General features: G+C 37.1%; 1 protein-coding gene across 10 annotated transcripts in view; it reads right to left on the bottom strand.

The window, feature by feature from the left end:
- GPSM2 (G protein signaling modulator 2) overlaps positions 1–22289 on the bottom strand; it is a 57561-nt gene that overhangs the window by 30698 nt on the left and 4574 nt on the right. For 4 of the 10 annotated variants that reach the window (XM_011541302.4, NM_013296.5, NM_001321039.3 and 1 more), the window contains 8 exons: positions 18270–18573; positions 6763–6984; positions 6221–6356; positions 5747–5889; positions 5083–5206; positions 4854–4969; positions 1903–2058; positions 614–722 (listed from right to left, as the gene is read on the bottom strand). In XM_011541302.4, coding sequence (XP_011539604.1) covers positions 614–722; positions 1903–2058; positions 4854–4969; positions 5083–5206; positions 5747–5889; positions 6221–6356; positions 6763–6984; positions 18270–18325 — 1062 coding nt within the window. In that variant the 5' untranslated portion in view covers positions 18326–18573. Of the gene's footprint in view, positions 1–613; positions 723–1902; positions 2059–4853; positions 4970–5082; positions 5207–5746; positions 5890–6220; positions 6357–6762; positions 6985–18269; positions 18574–21222; positions 21373–22289 lie in introns of all 10 variants that reach the window. The other 6 variants (XM_047418723.1, XM_017001097.3, XM_047418724.1 and 3 more) reach the window with 4 other exon arrangements.

Here is a 22289-nt window from a genome sequence, read left to right as displayed (position 1 = left end):
CTCTGGAATCATACTAAGTAATAATGTAGATTATCCTGGACACATTAACTTGGTATATGAATAAAATTTTCTTAGAATATTTTATTCCCATAGTATAATAATAATGTTTATTAAGCCAGCACCAGACATTTTGCTAGGCACTTTTAATATACATTAGCTCTAATCGTTATAACACTTTGCAAGGTAGATATTATTATTCCCATTATGCAGATGAGAGAAACTGAGGCTCAGAAAAGGTTTCCAAGCTCAAATAGCCAGTAAGTGGCAGAACTACAACAGGAAGCAGTCCTTAATTCTAAGAACCATGCTTTTCCTTCAATACCATGCTACTTCTCCATGTAGAGATGCGGGTAGAGTAGGGGCATATTTTAGTACTCTCCTTCCACTTCCCCATGCCCGGCCTTACTTTCCTGTCTTCCTACATGAAAGCCAATACAAACATAACTGTGATCTGTACCTCAAAATGCTTTCTGGGGTTCTTATGCCAAGAGAATGATATATAATCAAATTTATTATTCAGCCACATGATCAATCTAGAGAAATAGGGTTCCCTCCCCCAACCTCTAATTTGTAAATTACAATAGCACAGACAGCATTTTTTTTAGTTTCATACCTCTCTTGAAATTTCCAAGTGCTTTTCAGCAAAATGCATTGCTTGATCATGATTTCCTAGTGCTGTGTATGCATTTCCTAAGCTCCAACATGCTCTTCCTTCACCAATTCTAAAACGTTATTCAAAGCGAACATGCAGTTATTTGAAAAGAGGTCCTATGTATAGAATAAAAGCTATCTAGCAGGAACTAAAGGGATAAAGAATGCTTTGGATTGATTTGGTCTTTCATATAAATAACATACTATCATGATATTATAGACATACTAGAATACCCAGATTAAAAAAAAGAATACCCACATAATACTAAACTCACAGTCAAGTATTACAACATAGAAAACATGCTTTTAAAATATGAAATACATTATAAAGTAATAAATCTCAAGGATAGGTATTCTGGTCCACTACCCTATTTTCCTTCTATAACAGCCCTACCAGGTAATTATTCAGTGTGTGTTTGAGCAGCAGGGAGAGAGAACGCACTACCTCTTGAGGTAGCATACTTCATTTTGAACATCTGCATCGAAAAGTTCTCTCTCATACTGAGGTAAAAACAAAATCGATCTTCTAAAGCAAACATCACAGACTAAATGCTGGAAAATAATGTTTTTTAATACAGTAAAACAAAAAAACTGAATTAGCCACTAACATTTAAAAATCAGATTTCATATAAAACTCAGCACTTCCAGCTTCTCTTTAAAAAACAGGAAGATGTGGACATAACGGATTTTCATTCCTGGCTGGCAACAATTAGTTGGAGTTGGGTAGCAGTTGCCCCCTTCACACTGGACATTATCTCTAAGTTCACCACAATTCCCACACTTATGTAGTTAGGAAAACTTTTTTTTTTTTTTTTTTGAGATGCAGTCTTGCTCTGTCGCCAGGCTGGAGCGCAGTGGCGTGATCTCAGCTCACTGCAACCTCCACCTCCTGGGTTCAAGCGATTCTCCTGCCTCAGCCTCCTGAGTAGCTGGGATTACAAGCGTGCGCCACCACACCCGGCTAATTTTTGTATTTTTAGTAGATACGGGGTTTCACCAGGAAGACTTCTGAAGAGGTAATTGAGTTTGGGACCTAGTCATTGATCTTGGGTCAAGGGCATATGGAACCAGACTAATCCTCTATCACAGACTAGCCCTTCATACAATGATATACAGAGGATATCACTGAAAGAAAATTCCTTAAAAGGGATTTTAAGGAAAACAAAGGAAAAGAAACAAAGGAAAAATTCTAGGGATTCAATAATGCATCTATATTTTACCTTAGTTATGGTAAAAAGACGTAAAACATACCTATCATTCAGCTCTTGAGCAATTGCTAAGTGCTTCAGATGATAATCAATGGCCTTTTCATAGTCTTGAAGTAAAGTATATGTATTTCCAAGACTGTAACAAGACTGTGCTTCTACAGCTCGGTCTTTAAGCTGTCGGGCCAACAGTAGTGTCTTCCTACAAGAAGAAATTAATTCTTATATAATGATCATTCTCAGTTTGGGCTTTAAGAATCACAAAACAAAACTCTCATTTTTCCTCTCTGCTGCTTTCTGCTGTCTTTAAATCTCTGAGAGCCTAATATTCATATCCCGTACTTTCTCCATTACTTTTAGACAAAATGAAAAGACGTTTTTGAAACACAGAAAGAAGATTCAAGACTTTTAGAATAAATTTGAGAATCCTAACAATTCATCAAAGTAAAGGAGTATTGAAACATAAAATCAAGAGGTTCTAGAGATTAACATAATATCTTTAACATTTAAAAAAACTTTCCCTTTAGTATTGGCAATAGCTAAAAGAGGCTTTTTTCCACATGACATCTGTTTTCAATCATACCGTCACCTTTGCATTGTCAAAATTTAAAATATTTAGGTAAAATTCTTATGTGTAGGCTATTAGTCACCACTTAGGTAAAATTCTTATGTATCGGGCATTAGTCACCAACTCATGAAAAATACTGAATACTACATCCAAACATTACCCAAATTCTACCTGTGGTATTGCCAGTGAGAAGCTAGCGTAGCAGTTAAGAGCATAGATCTTGGAGCTAGACTGGGTTTAAATCCCAACTTTGCCAATTACTAAGCTAAGGGCAAAGTCACTCAATCTCTCTGTATACCAGTCTCTTCTTATATAAAATGGGGGAAATATCTCGAAGGATTTTTGTGAGGATTAAATTAATATGTATAAAGTGCTTAGAATAGCATCTTGTGCATAGTAGTTGCTGTATAAATGTTAATGTGTTATTATCAGTGCTTAAACCTATAGATGCTTTTGGATTCAGTAATTTAAATGACCCTCCCATTATTTCTGTCAAATAGTATAATTACTTCATATCACTTATAACTATATGACAAATTACTATGCGGTAACGTGATAGCTTTTTTTAAGCAAACAAATCTAAAGTTACATATTTAATGATGATACCTTCAAATCTGTCACCTTGGGAGGCTACCTACTTATTCTAATGTTGCCTGTCTTTTCAAATATTTTTGAAAGACTTTTGGAATTGCTTTCAGATCCTGTGGCATAATGCTTTCTGGCATACCATTATTCTTTGATGGTACAGTTGATTTGTAAATGATCAGAAATCTTTCTGGAACCAAATTCAATTACTAACATAGGTTTACCAAACTACTGCTTTGTATCCGGAAGGATATGGATCTACATTGTTAGCCTTCTTGTTTGGCCCTGATAACAATTCCAGGCTGGGTGTGGTGGTTCACGCCTGTAATCCCAGCACTTTGGGAGGCTGAGGTGGGCGGATCACTTGAGGTCAGGAGTCCCAGACTAGCCTGGCCAACATGGCGAAACCCCGTCTCTACTAAAAATACAAAAATTAGCTGGGCGTGGTGGCAGACACCTGTAATCCCAGCTGCTCAGAAGCTGAGGCAGGAGAATCGCTTGAACCGGGGAGGCCGAGGTTGCAGTGCACCAAGATTGTGCCATTGCACTCCAGCCTGGGCGACAAGAGCAAAACTCCGTATTTAAAAAAAAAAAAAAAAAAAAAATCTAAAGAAGAGTTCTAAAAATATTTCTAACCAACGACTTGGAATATATATAAAGTTCTGAGTTCTAGCCTGCTTATTGGGAGGAAAAAAACTAAGTTTCATTACTTTATATTCATGCTTCTTTAGTCAAATAGCCACTATCCATTTTATAATAGAACCTTTCAGTATTTAACACAGATACACCATTTAATAATTAAGACTTCTCTATATCCCTTGGCTTTAAATATAGGAAATTTTTATATTTAAAATCAAAATATATACTCCTTCACATAGTACACAGTGATATATTTTATTTGGGAGGCTATTTCATATCTAACTAACCTAACCAACAAATATTAACCATTAGTTGATGTTTAAAGCAAAGTGGAATGCTATTTAATTTTTTTAGATAGGCCTAAAACAATTTTACCTTTTTTATGAAGATGACAAATTATCCAGAACTGTCTCATATTGGCTTCTTTAACAAAATACAAATCAATCACTGTGTCTTCGGTTTAGTCAAACTGCCTTCTACCCAAAATCTGTAAGAGGCTTCAATCCCCACTAACTAGGGAAAACTCAATCTAGAAAGCACAGATCAGGCAACTTGAAGCTGTCTAAACTTTCTATCATCTATGTCTCAAATCTACTGATAAGAGAGATCCTGCCACAGAAGAAGCTGGGATTGTAAATGCTTCAGGTAAGTGAATGGGGGACTCAGCTTACAGTGACAGTCAAATATAGGCAGAAAGAGGGTAAAGGGAGAACTGCTCAATAAGAGGGTGGGAAGGTAGAGAAAAAAATTCAGTGATCACTGGTATAGACTATAAATATTTTTGTTACAAGGCTTTCTTTTGGCCTCTCTTCTAACCCATAACTGAGTGAAATAAAGCATATACACAATATACACCACATATGCTAAACAGGTTTAAAAGATATTAAAGGTTGAAAACTTCATTTAAAAACAATTACTTTTAAAGATAAAAACCAATATTATAAAGGGGTCATACTGCTGCTATTAAATCTTATGTACAATAATATTTATTGAGCACTGTGTACCAGATACTGTGTTTAGTATATTATTTCATTCAATCCTCACAGCATTCCCCAAAATGAAGTATTGATATATTCTGTTACAGATAAGGAAATTGAGGCTTAGATGCCAAAAGTTCTGCTACAATCAGATTTTAAACCTAAAGCCTATGAATTAATGGGACTGAGTATTCATTTTACATTTATCTACAGAAATATTAGACTAACTTGTAGTATTCCGAGGCAGTTTCAAATTCACCAAGAAATATATATGCATTTCCAAGGTTGCTATATGCTCTTCTTTCAGCTGCTTTATCTCCAAATTCTTTTGCAATAAGGAGACGCTGAAACAAACAATTTTAATTAGATGTAGATAAAATAAAACTGAAGAATGATCTAATCACTGTTCAGAACTTTGATGGAGGAAATGATCTGGCTCCAAGGCTTTCCACTGTACCTGCTCATGAGCTATAACTGCATCCCTGAAGTTGCCAAGGAGGTAATGTGTGTTTCCAAGATTTCCAAAGGCACGTCCTTGTGCCGCTCGGTCACCCAAAGCAGTCACTAATGATAGGTTTTCCCTAAGGGATCGCAAAAAGTGATGAAAAAATAAGTTTGCAGAACAATTTTATGTATGTGATTTACATATCTAATTCTTTTTATCAGAAAAAAATGTAGGGAAGCTTACAGCCATAATGTGCAACATTTTAAGGATGACATCTATGATGAAGAGCAATTATAGGAAATAGCTGGGAACACTTTATTAAACTATTCAGATAGGTTTCTGCCCAGGGTCAAGCACAGAGTTAATCTTGGAACCCCTATAGTTAAGTAGTTCTATGAAATTCTATTGGTAAAAGACTAAATTACTCTAAATAACAGACCAACCATTGACATTTCTTGCTTTTGCCACTAAGTGGCACTGGTCTGCAACTTAAATGAAAGCTGCAGATTACTACTAATATAACACTGTAACATTTAAGCAACTGAATTGATGATTTTGCTAGTTCATAACTTTAAAATCTTTGCCAAACTTAAAAACTTACTACTGAATAAAGAACGTACAGCAGATCCACGGCTTAGATGGGCCTACATGACTGCCCATATCAGCCCCTACTCACTCATAAAAATCCACGGCTGCCTGCAGAGCATCTCTCACTTCTTCTGGAAATTCTCCTACATCCTGGGGACCAGGGCAACCAAAACTTTTCCCTTTGGCATGATACACATTCCCAAGATTGTAAAGTGCTCTTGCTTCTCCCACCTAAATGAAGACATCAGCAAAGTTTACATTTTGAAAACAGAGGTCAGGTTTATCATATATATTTGTAATATCCTTAGTATTACGGACAAGGGAAAAAAATTTTTATATTGGCTCTCCATACAGAACCAATCAAATAATTACTTATGAAAGACCTCTTACTATTTCCTTCTTTTTCTCCATTAAATTTTTTTTCTTTTACTTCTATTAGTCTATAAATGTTTTCTTTTTTGGTATTAATTTTAAAATAAACTATAGAATAATTAAATAGTATTAAAATGCAAAGCCCTTTGAATGAAAATATTAGGCCTACCATCTAATGCTGCGGTATTACCTTGTCATTAAGCTCTCTGGAAATATCTAGGTGTCGCTGACAACAAACTATGGCTTCGTCAAAATTCCCAAGAACTTTTAAGGTGTTTCCCAGATTACCACTAGCTTTCGCTTCCCCCAGCTGGTCTCCAATAGTCCTGAAAAAAACAAAAAACAAAAAACAAAAAACCAAATGGTATTAAAATACAAATGGTGTTAAAATATAAAGTAGCCAGAGTACAGTTTTCCAAGAGGACAAACTGACATGCTTAAGGTAAGAAAAACCCATTGGCTTTGAAACCTACTTTAAATAAATATTTAAAACTTACATTTCTGGATTTGAATGTAATTAGTTTTCATCCATTTAATTAAACTCTAGGGTCAATTCACTACTATTCATTCAATTAAACTGTGTTCAGCCTAAAGGTTAGTTTTGAAAAGCGATGTTACTGAAGTAGAACTCATTAAATGTATTAAGTTAGTTTTTGTTAATTGAATAGAAATATTTTTTAAAGTAATAGCTAATTTCAGAAGGAAGAATATTTAAAAGCTTAAATTAATTACCTTGCAAGGGTTAAATCATGATGGTGATATTCTAATGCTTTGGCATAATCATGCAAATAGAAATAAGCATTGCCCAACTGGCTGTAAATAGCGCTAAGTGTTTTTAGGTCTTCAGTTCCAACTTGAACTGCAGCTTCAAAGAATGACACGCCAGCGCGGCAGTCTCCTGATTTACATAGACGTTCCCCTTCCAAGGCCAGCTCTAGGCAAGAAGCTTCCATTCTACAAAATTATACAGGACAGACATTTAAACATAACATTACAGCTGCATCACAGTATTTTTAACTTCCCGTAATATAATTTAAGCGGCTACTCTTGTTCAGGGCAGCTGCCTCTATAACTGAAGTTTATATACATTCCTGATAAAACAGTAAGCAGTTATTTGTAGCAAGAGGTAATTTGCCTATTCGAATTTCTCTGAGCCTGCTCAGAGAGGTCAGGATAGCTAAATATCTTTATGTGGAGCTCATTTTAATTGGCCCAGAGCAATCCACGTTACTAGTGAAAGAGCCTAAAGCAGTATTTCCCAAACAATTCTGAGTTGTAACAGACCTCTGGACTTCCTTAGAGTCTGAGAAGATGAGTATGTAGGAAAGTGAGGCCCTACAATTATTAATATTGTTCTCTACCCAGGTATCCAAGTAATCTAGTCACCTGTTCATCAGCCCCTCTGACCATCCAGCCATCCATCCCTCGCTCTCTCTCTCATACACACACAACACACACTCACTCTCCTTCCTCTTCTTACCACCACATGTCCACTTATACCCTAGAAAAATAGAGGAACAAAATATTCTTGATCTGTAAGACACATTTTCACAAGAGAACTAGGTGTCAAGAAACTAAGTTAGAAAACAATGATTCAAAAATTTGCAGAAATACTAATTTTGAAAGTCTGTCCCTGAATTGAAAAAGAAGGATTAAGTCACTGTAAACATATCTGGGAGAAAAAAACACTGATACTTTGGATTCAAATCCTAAATTTTAGAGGGTGCCCTTCACCAAAGTTGCCATTGTGTTTCTTCAGCATCTTCATGATTTCTGCCATATGTAGGAACTACCTATTCGTTTAATTATTTCTGTAATTTGGCAAATTTCCTTTAAATTGGCACACTATCTTTAACTTATCATTTTAAAAAAATGGAGCTTCATCCAAAGCAGTACTCATGAAACTGTGAATTTGATACGATACTTATATGTATATTCTAATACAACGGTCTCCAATCTTTTTGGCACCAGGGGCCGGTTTTGTGGAAGACAATTTTTCCATGGACGGGTGGCAGGGGATTGTTTTGGGATGATTCAAGTGCATTACATTTATTGTGTACTTTATTCCTCTTGTTACTATACATTCACCATAATGTACAATCAGTGGGAGCCCTGAGCTTGTTTTCCTGCAACTAGATGGTCTCCTCTGGGTGTGACTGGAGACAGTGACAGATCATCAGGCATTAAACTCTCATAAGGAATGTGCAATCTGGATCCCTCGAATGTGCAGTTCACAATAGGGTTTGCACTCCTATGAGAATCTAATGGTACTGCTGATCTGACAGGAGGCGGAGCTCAGGTGAAAATGCTCACTCGTCCTGCCCACCTGCAGCTTACCTCCTAACAGGCTACAACAGTACTGGTCTGTGGCCCAGGGGTTGGGAACCCCGTTCTAATACACATTAAACAAATATGAAATTATTAAAATCTAAAAGTGAGTAAAGTTACCTTATGTACCACCAGTGGCATACATATCACTCTTTGAGAAGCTCTGATTAAGCTCATCAAATGTTTTAATTTTTGGAACAGCATTAAGTTACTCCTTACTAGAATGAGCTTTGAGCCACTCCAATAGAGCAGTTGTTCTTAATGCTGGCTGTACAACAGCAGAGCTCACCTGGAGCACTTTCTAAAACTCCCAACGCTGAACTCCACCCTCTGGGTGATGTCTGGCCACCTGTATTTTTTTAAAGCCCCAGGTAATTCTAAAGTACAAGTTAGGGTTGAGAATCAGTGCTTTTATAAGAAATGTGAATTAAACCACCACCCACCCTAATATCATTCAAATATGATTATACTCTGTATATCTAGTGGTAGATCAATTAACATGTTTTTGTGAGTGCTGTTTTTCAGTCTGCAAAATTTCAAGGGTCCTTAGAGCCATAAATTAAAATGGGATTGTAAAGTAGAAAATGTACCTGATGAAGCTAAAAGCCTGGACAAAGATAAACTGAGCCAATTGTAAAGGTTCAAAGCAGACTTCTGGTTTAGAACAAGCAGATATATGTAGCCAATTCCAATAGGTAATTTTCAAGTTTTCTATCTAGGTATCTTTTTTTTTTTTAAGAATTCAAATGACTTAGCCAATGGCTACTGCTTGCTCATCTTCACTTTTTTTTTGAGACACAGTCTCTCACTGTCACTCAGGCTGGAGTGCAGCAGTACAATCTTGGCTAACTGCAACCTCTGCCTCCTGGGTTCAAGTGATTCTCGTGCCTCAGTCTCCTGAGCAGCTGGGATTACAGTCATGTGCCATCATGCCTGGCTAATTTTTGTAATTTTAGTAGAGACAGGGTTTTGCCATGTTGGCCAGGCTGGTCTCAATCTCCTGACCTCAAGCAATCCACCCATCTTGGCCTCCCAAAGTGCTGGGATTACAGGTGTGAGCCACCATGGCTGGCCCCATCTTCACTTTATGGATCTATGCAAAATAATGCAGGTAAACCTCCAACATTTTGCTACAATATTAGACTACAAGCCAATTAGATACAGGAGAGAAGATCTAAAATACATAGTAAGATAAGCAGTTAAATCAGAAACCTTAAACAGCTATATTTATGTTTCTTTATATGTCACTTCACAATTAATAAAGCCTATTTTTGCCTTCCAAAAATGAAAACTGCCCTTTAGAATTGTATTTCTGAAAATGAGATATTTCATAAAAGAAAAAATTGAGTATATCTGTTTAAGATTTTATGAAGTTATTGTCATATTCTATGTATAAAGATAAATAAATCAACAAAAGATATATAAAAATGTAATTTTTTTTTTCTTGAGATGGAGTCTCACTCTGTCACCCAGGCTGGAGCGCAATGGCTCACTGCAACCTCCGCCTCCTGGGTTCAAGCAATTCTTCTGCCTCAGCCTCTTGAGTAGCTGGGATTACAGGCATGCACCACCGTGCCCAGCTAATTTTTGTATTTTTAGTAGAGATGGGGTTTCATCATGTTGGCCAGGCTGGTCTCCAACTCCTGACCTCAGGAGATCCGCCTGCCTCAGCCTCTCAAAGTGCTGGGATTACAGGCGTGAGCCACTGTGCCCAGTCAAAATGTGATTTTTATTAAAGGATTATTTTGCTAGATGAAGTACCTGAACTGGTTGTCTTTATTTGTCAAAAACTGAAACCAATGAATTTCTAAGAAATATTATTTAAAAAAATGGAAAAGATATTTTTATTTGTAAAATAATTCTTTTCCTACAAAAAGTTTTTAATTTAAGCATTCTAAATTATGTTAAAAATTATATCTCAAGCATTTTCAGTGCTAAGAATTGATCTTAAGGTATACTTACACAAATTTAAGAAGATACATATGAAAGGATATTCACAGCAGCAAAAAAACCACAAATGAATTAAATGTCCACCAATAGAGTACTGGGTAAAAAAAATTACACGCCACTATACAATGGATTACTAATGATGGCGCATCATTTCACTGAGGGGGAAGTGAGGAAATGGTCACACATGACAGCACCATCAGTTCAGGATGACTGGGTTGCTGGCCGGGAAATTAGGAATAAGGCAGAACTGGCTATTCATGTGAACAACATTTAAAAATCGGAAGTATAAAAGTGTTTGCCAATATTCATATAAAACTGAGAAGTATCTTCTTCAAATAAATAACTTCACCACAAATGACTGATCTTCTGGATTTAAGTTTACAGAACATTTTACTGGAACCATTGATCCAAATGATGTGGCATCCCACAAAACTTAGCTATAGATTGAATGGCATCGTAAGTGTTACACGTTTTTAAAAAGGCATTTTACATAATTGTCATAAGAAACAATACTAGCAAACTGGAAGCTTGCTGGCTACATGGCTGTCCTTGAAGTCCATGTAGTGAGAATGCCCTACAGGAGAGACTATCTTAGAAAAGTTATTCCAGTGACTAATACCTGAAATAATGTCCCAAACACTCTAGTTTATGATTAATTCTTAGATAGATTCAGGCTCTGGTGTATTTTATTAGAAAATAAGTTAATATTCTGGCAAAAATCTCTAACACCTGAATCAAATATAGATTTATGCCTGCAAAATAGGGCAGCTTGGTTTATAAATTTTTTAGAAGATCATTAAATAGTAACAGAGAAAGTAATTTCATATCCTCTCTGTCACTATGAGAGAATAGAATTACTTCCTTTGTTTACCAGTTGGGTTGAAAACAAAGAACATACCCACATGTAGAAGAAAAACCAAGAACATACCCCTCCATTAAAATTCATCCCACATACAAAGTTTCCTTTATGCTTCTGAGAGCCTATCTAGCTGTATAATCAAAGAAAATATGTTTCTAATAAACTTCAAATAGACACAGTACTACTATCCTTAACTGACGTGTTTTCATTTTTGCTAATAGAGTGAACATTTTAGCTAGAATTTCTCATTTTCTGTGCAAACTCATGTCATTTCAATTTTTCTTTTAATTTTTAACTTCTCTTCCACACTAGATTTTGCACTTGACTATTATCCTCTTTACCTCCTTAAATTTGTTTCGTGTTCACAGGACGTCAGTGAATGCAAAACATAAAACCATGATGCTACATCTTTCTAAAAGACTTAATAACATCAATTTTGTCCAGATTTGACTCTTGCTTCAAAGGGCTTACATACTATTTAAGAATAAATGATGGAATTCAGGACTTAAGAGGCAAAATAAGACTACTCTCCATTTTCTCTATTATGCTTTCCATTTCTGTGGTTGTGTGATCTTCTTTCATAAATCCTAGCTCTACCTTCTCTGTATTCTAATTGGGCATGAACCTTTTCCATCACCAGTGCTAGCCCCAATAAACAAATTTCATCCATTCAATTTACCACATATATCTAGCTGTTCTCATTTATTATGTAAAAGGAAAAGTAGTGCTCAATTGATTTACATTTGTATGGTTAGATGATTAATAATATAGAATAAGAAGGAAGAAAATGATTAAAAAACAAAAATTTGTATGGTAATTTAGTTTTAAAAGTGATTTTAACCTTTATCAAACTTAATTCTCAAAATAACCCTCTGAGGCTGGGTGCAGTGGCTCATACCTGTAATCCCAGCACTTGGGAGGCTAAGGGGGGGTGGATCGCTTGAGCCCAGGAGTTCGAGACCAGCCTGGGCAACATGGCAAAACCCCATCTCCACCAAAAAAAAAAAAAAAAAAAATTAGCTGGCTGTGGTGGCATGCACCTGTAGTAGTCCCAGCTACTCGGGAGGCTGAGGTGGGAGGATAGCTTGAGCCCAGTAGGCAGAGGGTGCAGTAAGCTAAGATCACACCTCTGCAATCCAGCATGGGTGACAGAGCCAGACCCTATCTCAAATAAAATAAAATAAAAATAACCTTCTAAGATAGGTATTGCTACAGAAGGAGAAAGTGATGCTGAGACAGGTTAAATGACTTGCTTAAGGTCATGGGATGTCAAAGTTGAGATATGAAAATTTATCTTTGTCTCCAAATCCAGTGGTCTTTCCATCACTCCATGTTACCTTAAACTACTCAAGAAAGCACATTAACAACTACATTGAGCTAACAAAATTAAAGAATTCAACACCATATCTGTATTCCTTCACAACTTACATGCAAGAATCTAACTTTTACAATATTAAAGTATTAAAATGCTTATTATTCACAGTAAGAAGTATAAATGACATTTTCCAAAGAAACACAAAACCAGAGGAACTAGTGTAACAAACCCAATGTATCCATCTTTCAACGTCAATAATTACACATATATAATCAATATATTATTTATTCATCTCTACTCTGATCGTTACTCTTCCAACCCCAGATTGGTCTGAAGTACATTCCGGAAAGCATATGATTTAATTTGTAAATACCTTAGTATGTATCTTTAAAAGATTAATCTTTTTCAAAAAATACAATCACAATACCATTATCACACATAAAAAATTAATAATTCCTTAAAAATCAACCATATAATTTTTTTTTAACTTAAATTGTACTTGCTATCAGTCTCTACCTTTTGAAATAGGTGCAAAATATTTCAATAAAGCATTCTGATGTCCCCTTAGGAGGTTACTTAGTGTTCCAAGAAACATTCCATTCAAAATTACAAATTCATTGTGCCACAGAAACTCCTCCAGGGATAGAGGAGGACCTCCACAATGGAAGAACCAGATGGATAAAACATTTCATAAGGATTTACTATAGCAGAAGAATAACTTATACCAGCCTATGGCCTAACATAAAGAGTTCAAATCATTACCCCCAATTATACGACAATCCAATCAATATACAGAATGCTGGTCTTAGAGCACTGATAAAGCCAGAGATTTGTTTGGTATAGTCCTATTACAGACAGTACAGATTTTTAAGTTTCCCTTGGTGAAGTCCTATAGCAAAGTGCAACCATGTTTGATCTAGACTGTATCACAGAAAAAGGACAATTCTAAGATCTTCCAACAGGCAGAGGTACAAGCCATTCCTACTTATCTACTGTTCTTACCATATTAGAAAGCACAATACTATTCAAAACATTTAGCAAGACAGATAAACATCTTATTACGTTCATATTCCATTGAAGTTCAATATGTGCCAGACAACATGCTAATTATCATGGCTGCTGAGGAGTGACCACAGCTGAGGAGCTAATGCTCAAAGGGAGAGGTGAGGAGGAAGGGAGCACCATAAAAACAGATTAACTTAATTTTAATACAGTTGGTGCTAAGAAAGAAAAATGCACAGATTGTAATATGAGCACACGGAGGCCACAGAGCCTAACTATGGAGCTTAGAAATGGTTTCCAGGAGGAGATAATCTCCGAGCTGTATCTTAGAGTAGAATTAGCTAAACAAAGAAAGTGGGAAGGGAGTTCAACATAGGGCATAGCATGAGCAAAGACACTGAAATATAAAACAGCATGACATGCAGGAAACCAGAGCTCAAAGTGCAAGGTGAAGAATGGCAGGAAGTAAGGTCCCAGGAATAGGCAGAAGCCAGATAATGAAGATCTTGTGTTCTATGTTCAGCTTGGCCGGGTGACTAGGAGCCACCCTAGGTATTAAGCAGAGAGGTTGCACGGTTAGCTCTGTGTTTTGAGATTGAGCCCACTAGTGACAAGTCAAAACGACGGGTTCCAAGAGGTGAAGAATGGAGGCAGTCTGGAAAGAAGATCCTGAGGATCTCAATTATAGCTATGGCGGTGTAAAAAGTAAAGTAAAGGTTCCTCTTCAAAGACTTTCCTCCCCATCTAATTAGGAATAAATAGTATTTATTCCTTAGACGCAAAATTTATTCAAAGAACTGTGTTAACATTCTTAAATATCTGCTAGCGGTAATAAGGAAATCAATGTACCTTATGTTCTTAGCTCCCACAATTTAGCCTAAGTATTTGCCCTAGCATGCTTACACTGGTCCAAGCAAGCATTAGGTCATAGCCTGTTCCTCTTCCTTATTTAAAAGTGTTTTTATCTTTCTCAACATTCCACAAGTTACTTCCTCCTTCCTTTGTTCCCCTCTACCTTTGCCTCTTTTAAAAAGTTCTAAGTTGCTAGCCAATCGGGACAAATACAGAATGTGAGGTCCCGTTCCAGTTAATGGAAACCAGACACAGCAGTAGGGTGGATACATCAGGTTATAAATGACCCTGTCTCCTTTGTTCAGTGTACTCTCGAGGCAAAACTGCTGATGAGTGTACCCCTTCTGCAGCAAGTAAAAATGGCCTTACTAAATAAATTAAATTTATGTTCAAGTGCTATTTCTTTACAGCACCGGGGAACAAGCCTTTCAAACAACTGGGAGGATGCACATGAGTAGATGAATCTGAGAAACATTTAGGAGATGAAACCAGCAATACTTCATGCTGGATACAGAATGAGAAAAGAAAAAAGTATATAATTCCCAGGTTTCTGGAAATTTATGTAAAGGGTAGGATGGCAGCATTTCGTATATTAAAAGCTCATCTTAATTATCTTAAATGTCTTCCATTTTATTTTACTTGAAACTCTTTTTTAATAGAAATGTCCTCATCTTACCTATGTTAACTTCCTTGGCATGAACCTTCCTAACGTGAACTATTTACAGGATGATAAATCTCCCATTTCCTAAATATGTTAAGACATCTAAAATTTGGTACACCCTCCTGAGATTTTGAATTCTATTAATTGCTACTATATTCTGATGTTCATCTAATAATTAACTTGTAACAGTTTTGATAAAGAATCTATTACCAGCTGGGCACGGCAGCTCATTCCTGTAATCCCAGCACTTGAGGAGGCTGAGGTAGGTGGACTGCTTGAGCCCAGGAGTTCGAGACCAGCCTAGGCAACAGAGTGAGATCGCATCTTCACAAAAAGATTTTAAAAATTAGCCAGGCATAGCTGTAGTCCCAGCTACTCAGGAAGCTGAGGTGGGAGGATTGCTTGAGCCTGAGAGGTTGAGGCTGCAGTGAGCTGTGATCATGCCACTGCACTCCAGTCTGGGAAACAGAACAAGACTCTGTCTCAACGGGGAAAAAAAGGCCAAGTGCAGTGGCTCACGCCTGTAATCCCAGCACTTTGGGAGGCCGAGGCGGGTGGATCACCCGAGGTCAGGAGTTCGAGACCAGCCTGGCCAACATGGCAAAACCCCATCTCTACTAAAAATATAAAAGTTAGCTGGGCATGGTGGCACACGCCTGTAGTCCCAGCTACTCAGGAGGCTGAGGCAGGAGCACTGCTTGAACCTGAGAGGCAGAGGTTGCAGTGAGCTGAGATTGCACACCACTGCACTCCAGCCTGGGTGACAGAGTGATACTCCATTTCAAAACAAAAACAAAAACAAAAACATATTCCCTAATCACCTTATTAAATGATGATAATATTTAAGTTTGCATTTATTTTATCGTTTAGTGCAATTACCAGAACTTGCAGAATATTAATAATCATAGTGCAGATAGCCTTGTTTTGTTCCTAATTGCATTAGAGATGTCATTAATATTTAACACTAAATATTAAACTGGCTATTGGTTATCATGTTTACAAAGTACCCACCTATTCCGACTTTATTTAATACCCATTCCTTCAAGATGCTCATTTATGAAGGCTGAGCTCCACACACGGATGGGGGTAGGCTGCATGCTCTCACAGACTGTCACTGGGTGCATGGTGTCTGTGGGTGACACTGACCTAAGCAGCCCATCTAGAAGGGTGCAATAGGAAGGTCTGTATGCAACCCTCTAGGAGTGAGGAATGAGAATGGGAGCCTGGCTTGCAACAGGCAGTGCCTGGGAGGATGGCAGGTAATGGCATTCTAGGCCATCCAAGGAATAAGGGGCAAAGTCTGGGAGGCAGAGAAACCTATGGGGTTTGGGGAATCGAAGGTGTGATGAGGAGATATGGAGGGCAATGAGGTGGGCAAGGCCAGGAGATGGGGACATCGCACTTGGTGCTCTGGGCCTCGAGGTGCAGGAGGGTTAGCGCCTCGGAGTCCCAGGGTAAGTGTATGTTACGTCCTGGAGAGCAGCTTTCTCAAAACCTTGAGCTCTACCTCCCCCACCTGCCTGTGTGGTTTTTTAGAGAGTTGTGTCTGTTACAGGCCTCTTTCTCCTCCTTAAAATGTTCAACCCACATTTTTAAAAAAAAATTTGCATTAGCTGCCAACATTTCAGAATTTGGAGACAGCACAATAAAGATTTAGATTTCCGGCCGGGCTTGGTGGCTCATGCCTATAATCCCAGCACTTTGGGAGGCCAAGGCGGGCATATCACTTGAGGCCAGGAGCTCAAGACCAGCCTGGTCAATATGGCAAAACCCTGTATCTACTAAAAATACAAAAAATTAGCTGGGCGTGGTGACACACGCCTATAATCCCAGCTACTCGGGAAGCTGAGACAAGAGAATCGCTTTAACATGGGAGGCGGAGGTTACAGTGAGCCAAACTCGTGCCACTGCACTCCAGCCTGGGCGTCAGAGTGAGACTGTCTCCAAAAAAAAAAAAACAAAAACACAAAAACACACACACACACACTCTTCAGATTTTCAGATTTCCTGGGCTCTTCTGAAAAATCAGGAAGACCTGCCCATTCTGTACCTTCATTCTGCCCAGCTATCACTTCCTGGCTATCTTCCCTCCTTTCCTGATGTGTATGTCTGATTTGGATCCTGATCTAGATCAGTGGGAAGCATCCACCCCCACCAACACACATACATGTGCATAACCTATTATATATAAGGTGTAGCCAAAGGGAGTGTGTTGTATTTGTGAAAGACACTTGTGGATGCAGAACAAAGGTGGGAACACTGGTCCTTACAATCTGCAACCTTCTACCAGGAATGTAGACAATCCATTTGGGCATCCAAGGGAACACTGTAAGTCCTAGAGGAGCCAGGCCATTTCCCTAGGGACCGTGAAGCTTGTGAGAGAATGCATGTGGGTGCCTTTCCTCAGCCTGACTTGCTTTCTGGAGTAAATTAGGGATTACCAAACCACTACTTCATGTAAAAATGTGGTCTTAAGTATTAAATCAGCAAAACAACACAAAATGTCACTAGACATTAAGCTTAAAAATGACATTTCTTTTGAACAGCGCTTGTTTGTATTTTAATAATAATGTATTTATATTAATGTGGATTAGGTACATATTTAAAACAGTAATAATGGTTGTGAAATAAAATTTCCTTTAAAGATAAAATAAAAAGCCAGGTGCAGTGGCACACACCTGTAGTTCCTGCTACTCTGGAGGCTGAGGCAGGAGGATTGCTTGAGCCCAGGAGTTTGAGACTTGCCTGGGCAATATAGTGAGACTCCCATCTCTGATAATATAGAAAAAGTAAAATTAATAAAATAAAAAATATACAAAAAAAGGAAATGAGAAGGGAATCAAAACAATACACTACAAAAAATAAAAATAAATCAAAAATAAAAAGTTCATGTCTAAAAGATCACATTAAATTACAATGCAAAGGTTTGGTCCTTCAGCTGACCACATTTTTAAAAAATCCACCTTTTAGCCCCAAAGATTTTCAAACATATTTCATTTACATATTTGCATTACATAAAAAGTTACAAATTATAAAGAAATTATTCATAAACTCTTCCAGAGAACATTAAACAAACCATAGTACATAATTGGTCTCTACTATCATTTTCTTACAGAAAGGAAAACTTACAACAAAAAGAAAATATTGTCTACAGACAATACTATGGCTGGTATATTTGAGTATTTTCAACTGAAACTTGAAATGGTCATCAGAGTTAAAAACACTTTAAAATAAGGATTAAAAGTCATCCATTAAGACAGCAATAGTCTTACCTGTAACGAACATGAAAAGAATGGTCTTCTCTCATGCTTATCAAATTTTCCTCCATCGAGTCATATTATAAGCTGAATAAAATAAAATTATTTTATTTTGTGCCAATCCAGTCCTTTACAATGTAGAATTGTTTGTAGAACATTGTCCGGTTAGTATATTAATGAGTTGGTGTTAATACATCCTAAGCTCCTGATTCTTCTTTATTAATAATGAAAGGAGGTCAATGTCAGACAGCTTAAAGGTTCAAAATGTATCCCAAATCCTTGCATCTCTGGCCCTTTCAGCAGCACTTCAGCAACATTTCTGCAAAAGGAATACAAGATGCTTTGCTTGAAGTCCTATTTTCAAAGAACAACCTACAGTAACCCTGAGCTGTACATAATCACAAGCTAACTCTGCAGACTGCTGTCATGTCAATCAATACAGAAGATAGCACAGGGCTTAACTGTCATCATGGAGCTTCTAAATAGGGGTGGGAATAGATGAGATTTGAGAACTGTAATTTTTAAAATATGTTTGAAATTTAATACTTTTATGTAATATTTTCTGCTATAAACAAAAAAGAACAGTATGTATCATATTAGCATCTAAAAACAAAATTGCTGCTTCAAACTTTTAAAAACTACTATTAACAAATCAAATGAAAATTCAATAATTATTTGAAATAGTCAACTCCAAACTCAGTAAATTTATTTCTTCAAAGAAGATATCACACTGATACTTCGGTTATAGTTGGATTCATTTGCTTTCAAAATATATTCTACTTAAACTCTTTAAGGTCTTTAAAATGTTTTTTATTAATATTGGGTAGGTACAAAAGACATTTGGGAAATATGTATATGGTAAAAAGAATGACACAACAAACATTTATATAACACCATTCAGTCTAAAATAAGAACATTACCTGCCTTTAAAGTCTCCTGGGTAGTCCAACCTAACCCATCTCCTTCCTTTTCCCTCTAAGGTGATTTCTAAACTGTATTTTGTTCCTTATTCCTTTGCTTGTCTTTACAACTTTAACACGAATGTCAGTATAGTCCTAAATAAGATACCATTTAGTTTTATATGATTTTGCTGAACGTTGTTTCTGAGATTTTTCTCAATTGTTGTGCATAGCTACAACTTGCATGTATATTCCATTGTATACCAAATGTATTTTTCATTCTGCTGTTGATGGACATTTGGATTATAGTTTTTTGGATTGCTGTTACTAACAGTATTAATATTCATGCCACTGCACTCCAGCCTGGTTGACAGAGCAAGACCCTGCCCCAAAACAAAATGAAACAAAAAACTACCATGAACACTGATATTAATAACTCAATGTACTAGTTAGGGCCAGGTGCAATGGCTCATGCCTGTAATCCCAGCACTTTGGGAGGCAGACACAGGTGATCACTTGAGGCCAGGAGTTCAAGACCAGCCTAGCCAACACGGTGAAACCCTGTCTCTACTAAAAATACAAAAGTTAGCCAGGTGTGGTGATGCAAGCCTGTAATCCCAGCTACTCAGGAGGCTGAGGCATGAGAATCACTTGAACCCGGGAGGTGGAGGTTGCAGTGAGCCTGAACCCGGGAGGCGGAGGTTGCAGTGAGCCAAGATTATGCCACTGCGCTCCAGCCCAGGCGACACAGTGCAACTCTGTCTGCCCCCACCAAAACAACAACAACAACAACAACAAACCCTCAATGTACTAGTTAAGCAGCTAAAGAAAGAATAAGCAGATGAAAAATAATAAAGAGAAGTTCAGAGAAAAGGAGGACAAAATGAGCAGCTCTATAATATATCTAATAGGAGGGTGAGAAAGAAAAAGAGAGGAATAAAGGTAAAATCTTCAGTGATAAAGACTGAGAATATTTAAATAAAAATGAATCCATACCGATACATTAGAGAGAGCTACAGCATATCAGACATAAACTATAACCTCTGAGATAACAGTTGAGAAAGACAAAGAAGGATATACATATACATATATGAGATAAATTGGTAGATATACAATCATAAAGTCCTGGAATCTCAGTGTTATAAACAATCCTAGAGGTCAGTTAGTCCACTATCTTACTATAGCATTCCTACATAGGTCATAAAGCAGCTAATCTTAATTTTGAATATTCCTGTAAGAAAATCGTTCCATACTTTGAGCAATTCTTCCATTTCTACCCATTTGTTCTACTTCTTCCTTCTGCTGCCATATACAATAAAGCCTAATTCCTCTTCTATATAACATCCTTTTAAGTATTTCAGCTATATCATAAACCAGACTAATGAATACTCACTGCTCTGTTAATTAAGTACAGCTAGAAGTTAATAGGGAACAGAGCAGAAGGTGAAAGGAGGGAAGGTAGAAAGAAACAGCCTTGGGAATACTGATGAAGTTTCCAAGAGGAAATGAGGTTTTCACATTAATAACAAGTTTAGCCTGCAAGAAACACAAAATAGTACTCCTCTTATCTCTTCCCTTGGCCAACAAAGGAAGCACTATCTTTTGTTGTTGTTTTGTTTTTTTAGAGATGGGATCTTGCTATGTTGCCCAGGTTGGAGTACAGTGGCTATTCACATCACAATCATAGCACACTGCAGCCTGGAACTCTTGGTGATCCTCTCGCTTCAACCTCCCAAGTAGCTGGGACTACAGGTGCATGCCACAGCACGGGCTAGGGAGCAGTATTTTAAGAAAGAACAAAAAGGTAGCAGCTATCAACACATCAAATAGCAGCTATCAACACATCAAATCTCTTTTCCTTTTGTTCAGAATTCCACTGTGCCTCTTTTTTCCTTAATAAAAAAATTAATAAAGGGAATTAGTGTGGATACTCATTGCAATAGCTCCAAAGGCGTCTAGATTACACAAACAGCTAAACTGGCAATGATATTATCTCCCGTTATCCACTATGAGGTTTGGGCTGTTATTTATAAAATGGAGCAGAAAGAGAGGTATTAGAATTAACTTACCTTAGAATTAAATTAAATTATAGTAGGTCCTCCAGATCTGTGGGTTCTGCATAGTGGATTCAACCAACCGCGTATCAAAAATATTCAGGAAAGAAAATGAAAAGTTGTGTCTCTACTGAACATGTAGACTTTTTTCCTTGGCATTGTTCCCTAAACAATACCATATAACAACTATTTACATAGCATTTACATCGTATTAGGTATCATAAATAATCTAGAGAGGATTAAAAGTTTGTGGGAAGATGCGTATAGGTTATATGCAAATACTATACCATGTTATATAAGGAACTTGAGCATCCATGGATTTTGGTATCCTCAGGGGGTCCTGGAACCAATTCCCCACAGATACTGATATTAAATTTAAATATTTTTCTTAGGTAGGCCCGGTGGCTGACATCTGTAATCCCAGTGCTTTGGGAGACCAAGGTGGAAGGATCACTTGAGACCAACAGTTCAAGACCAGCCCAGGCAACGTACAAGACCCCGTTTCTACAAAAAATTGAAAAATCAGCCAGGTGTGGTGGCCTGTGACTATAGCCCCAGCTACTTGGGAGGATGAGGCAGGAGGATTGCTTGAGCCCAGGAGTTGGAGGTTATAGTAATCGATGATTGCACCACTGCACTCCAGTCTGGGCCACAGAGTGAGACCCTGTCTCTAAAAAAATAAAACAAAATATTGTTCTCATCCATGAGTTCTTAATGAAATTCTAAATTTTGCAATTATAAAATGTTAATTTCATACTCCTTAAGATGTAAACATGTAGCATTTACATGTTTCACAAATTAACGAATAAGTAAATGAATATAAATAAAGTTGCAAAATATTTTACTTGATGAAAACTGCATGTAGAAAGAACCATTTCTAAGACCATTAAAATAAGCAAGAAGACAGAATGCTATTCACTATTTCAATAAGAGCAATTTATAATATAGTCTTACTATTCTCAAGGGAAGAATATCTTTAAAAGTGCCTCTTACATTACAATCTCCATAACAATTAGGTAGCACTTCACACAAAAAAATATTCACTGAACAAACAAGCAATTCTTGATTCATGATTCATGTTT

The sequence above is a fragment of the Homo sapiens genome, chromosome 1 (assembly GCF_000001405.40).
Source record: "Homo sapiens chromosome 1, GRCh38.p14 Primary Assembly".
Classification (NCBI taxonomy): domain Eukaryota; kingdom Metazoa; phylum Chordata; class Mammalia; order Primates; family Hominidae; genus Homo; species Homo sapiens.
Note: the sequence above shows the minus strand (reverse complement) of the source record. Positions and strands in the feature narration are given on the sequence as shown.